The 3,964-nt window shown below is 45.4% G+C and overlaps 1 annotated feature.

Annotated features, from left to right (window-relative positions):
- Nucleotides 1,459-1,958: an enhancer, noted in NCBI's record as "H3K4me1 hESC enhancer chr3:84954381-84954880 (GRCh37/hg19 assembly coordinates)". NCBI's record gives its function as "activates a minimal SCP1, AML or CMV promoter by ChIP-STARR-seq in naive H9 embryonic stem cells {active_cell/tissue: H9 hESC(naive)}" and the evidence as "EXISTENCE:reporter gene assay evidence [ECO:0000049][PMID:30033119]".

Genomic DNA, 3,964 nt, shown 5'->3' with positions numbered 1-3,964 from the left:
CATGACATTCCAAAATGACAAAAACCATTGGTGATCATACACACACACACACACACACACACTGATGATCAAGACATATTGATCTAGATCAGAAAGAATAAAAATGTAAAAATCTAATTCAGTATACTCAATGATCAAATTATGCTTAATGAAGCTTATAATTCATTTAATTTCCCCTACCCTCAATTCTCCTAAATTGTGCTTTTGTTGTAATTAGTTTAGAACATGGAAATTTGCAATGTATTTTTATTTTGAACATATCGTCTAAGTTGAAACTTCCCAAAATCTGTCTAGAATCAAAATAAATAGAAACATCTTGTGAGTTTTTCAAATGTCTCTTTTAATAATACATGCTAAAAAAATAGATAATAAGGTTACTTCATATGCACACACACGTATCACTCACTACGAGGATTCAGGAAATAAATTAATGGCATGTTCTTCTATATTCTCTGGTACATACAATAAAAAGTTTTCAAAACAGACAATTTTTGTTAAAAAATTATATTTGTGTGGTGGGGGGCAAGGGTAGGGAGAGTATTAGAACAAATACCTAATGCATGCAGGGCTTAAGACCTAGATGACAGGCTGATAGGTGCAGCAAACTGCCATGGCACATGTATATACCTATGTAACAAACCTGCACATTCTCCACATGTATCCCAGAACTTAAGGTAAAATTTAAAAACATTATCATTTCTAAACATGCATAAACATGTAACTACCCAATGGATGAGATGGACATTTAAAACCAAAGGACTGCTATTTCTAGTAACATTGTGACAGGATCCTTGGGGCCACAGAGGATGGCACCTTTGCCTGAGCAAAACTCACGAGCCACTAGGCTCGTTCTACTCACTCAGCCTGGCAGGCTGACCTTGGCTTATGCTACTGGCCTGTTTCCCATGCCTGTCAAGGGCGAGTCAAGTGTGGAGCAGTGAGGGGGTGTGAGAGAGTGAGCATGGGGTATGGTCACTGTGTACAGCTAGGCATGCCAGCTGTGGTGGGGTGGGCAGCTCCAGGTGCCAGCGTGGGGGCTGGCTCCCTGCAAGGCTGCAGCTGGACCAGGCACAAGCAGCTTCTATGGCTGCCACGAGGGGACATGGTTGCGCCCAGAACCTTAGAGACACCGGGAACCACAGAGCCCCAAAGAAGGTGTCACAGCCCTGGCTCAGGGAGCTCCCAGGTCTGGGCTCCCTGAATGGCCGCAGCTCTTCTCTCTTTCCCTCTTACCTCCTCCTTGTCGCCTGCAATGTGGCAAGCAAGGGGCATGTTTCAGCCCTGTTTGTGTTACAGTTCTTTCAGTCCCACCGTTTGATGGGTCCTGAGTTCTTGTCCTGTGTCCAGGAAGAATAAAGTATGTGGACAGGTGGAGGGTGAATAAGGCAAACAATTGCTTTATTTAGTGACAGAACAGTATAGGTCTCAGAGGAGACCTATACTGGGTAGCTCCTCTCCACAGTCAGGTCGTCCCAATGAGTGTCCAGCTCTCAGCAGAGAGGACACCCACAGTGGGTAGCACCTGTCCACAGGGAGGCTACTCCGTCATCTGCCCGAGTCTAAATGAGTCCAGGGTTTTTATGGGCTTCATAGGGGAGGAAGTGCATGCCAGATTGGTCCGTAGGTGGCCATGGGCAGGCCCGGAAAAAGCGCGAGTTTTCACTCTGGTGCACGGAAAAGGCAACGTGGAGCCCAGGCCTCAGGCCCTCCCTGGCTTGAAGGTGGGGTTTCACCAGGGACTTGACCCTTTCCAGCCAGGATCCTATTTGCTTTCTGCCACCATTAACCTGCCAGCCACGGTGCCCATGGCGACCAGGCTGTTGCTGCAGGGAGCCTACAGGCCCACGCCAAGCTGCCCCTCTCGGGCTCCCTCCCATGCTTGTTGGTGACCAAAGTCCAGAAGGCACCAAGGTGGCAGGGGGCTAGCATTTCACTGCTGCCCCAGGCACGTGCACACCCCGCCAGGTGATGACGGTGCCTGAGCTCAGCCACAACTTTGCTGTGAAACGGGAGTGGGCACTGGGAGTGGGGAGAGACCAGGCAGCAGGAACAGGCACTTCTGAGGCTGCGGGGGCAGGGGGGCTTCCTGCACCTCCCATCCCCGCAAAGTGCAGGGATACACAGATCCACAGCCAAGACTAAGCGGATGCAGCTGTGCCTGTGAGGGCGGGGCTCCCACCCCTCCAACTTGTAAGAGGGTGGGGCTACCACCTGTTCCCAGCTCCTGCCAGCTCCATGGAGCGGCAGTCCCAGCTGCGCCTCCCTCACTGAGCTAGCGTCAAGACAGCGGACACTCCAGACAGGCTGCTGCTGCCATCAACATTTCATTTTGACAAAATGTTTTGTGTTGTTTAACCATGTGAGCTCTCCAACAGCCCGTTGCTTTTGAATCCTGGATATGTCACATAAAAACTGCGGGACCTTGGACTAATTAATATGATTCAAACTCAGTTTTCTTATTTTTTAAATAGGGGTAATAAGAGTAACTACTTCATAAGGTTGTTGTGAAGATTAGGCATCAGTGCCTGCACTGGCAAGCATTGAATAAATGTAAGCTATTGTCGTTATCATACATTTCCACAAATGGAAAATAGAGAATATATAAATATCTGGTATAAAATAGTGGATTTATTGAATTATTTCCTTCAATAATTCACAAACATATTTCCAATTACTGCCTTCTTATGACACACAAGTCTGAAAATATATCATGTTTGAATTTCCTAGCAGAGGAAGAGTAGGTATTTCCATCCACAGAGATTGGCTTGGTCATGTGATTTGCTTTGACCAATCTAATGTAAGTTAGTCAGAAGCTATTCAAGAAATATGAACCACACCAGCTGTTTGAACAGAGATATTTTCATATAAACTAATCTTAATAATTAGATATTGGTGACAACTTAATTAAAAAGCAAAAGGAAACACTACATTTTCATGGAGTTGCTGTGGAAAGCACTTACCATCCCTAAGGCTGGAGGTTAAAAAGGGAAGAGGCTGAAACTGTTAATAATAGAAGTTTGGAGGAGAGACCTCATTAAAATGGAACGTGGACTCCTGATAAGGTTGGTACTCGTACCTGAAGTCCTGTGAAGAAAGATTCTGTAGAACTTGGTTGCAGGCCTTGAGGAAAGGGCACAATTCATTTCATAATGATGCCTTAGGTCTAAAAGAGGGAGCTTATTAAGAGGAGGAAATAAAATTCTGAGAAAGAGGCTTTGACCAGCTAGTGCTGGTATATTCTGAGTAGACACAATGAGACTGGTTTGGGGAATTTCAGAAAAACTACAAGCCACTCTGTTTATTTATTTATTTACTTGAGACAGAGTCTTGCTCTGTCGCCCAGACTGTTGGGCAGTGGCACGGTCTCAGCTCACTGCAATCTCTGCCTCCCGGGTTCAAGCAATTCTCTTTCCTCAGCCTCCCAAATAGCTGGGATTACAGGTGCATGCCACCACACTGGGCTAATTTTTTTTTTTTTCAGTAGAGATGGGGTTTCACCCTGTTGGCCAGGCTGGTCTTGAACTCCTGACCTCGTGATCCGCCTGCCTTGGCCTCCCAAAAAGTGCTGGGATTACAGACATGAGCCACCGCACCTGGCCTCATCTGTCACTTTCAGGGTAAGGAAGTTTAGCTGGGGTTATACACATGAGGAAGGAATAAGTCTCTTCTGGTTACTTCAGATTTTCAGTCATTTTCTTCCTTCTTCAGACTTCCAGATTTCTCCTGATTTCTAGAGCCTTCTATTGCTGTATCTCCAGCTGCCCAGCAGATTTTTTTTTTTCTTTTTACCCCTGCTCCTCCCTATGCCCAGCATATTTGAGACGGCATCAAATCTATCCACATAGATACTATCAAGAGAAACTAATGTTTTCCTTTATCATTTAACATCTTAGCCTATGACCTTTCAAAAGTATAGCACATGGTTATAAAATTCTGTCTTTTTAAAAACAGATTAACTTTGTGA

Source organism: Homo sapiens, chromosome 3 (genome assembly GCF_000001405.40).
Source record: "Homo sapiens chromosome 3, GRCh38.p14 Primary Assembly".
NCBI lineage: Eukaryota > Metazoa > Chordata > Mammalia > Primates > Hominidae > Homo > Homo sapiens.
The sequence above is the reverse complement of the archived record's forward strand: the minus strand, read 5'-3'. Positions and strand labels throughout refer to the sequence as shown.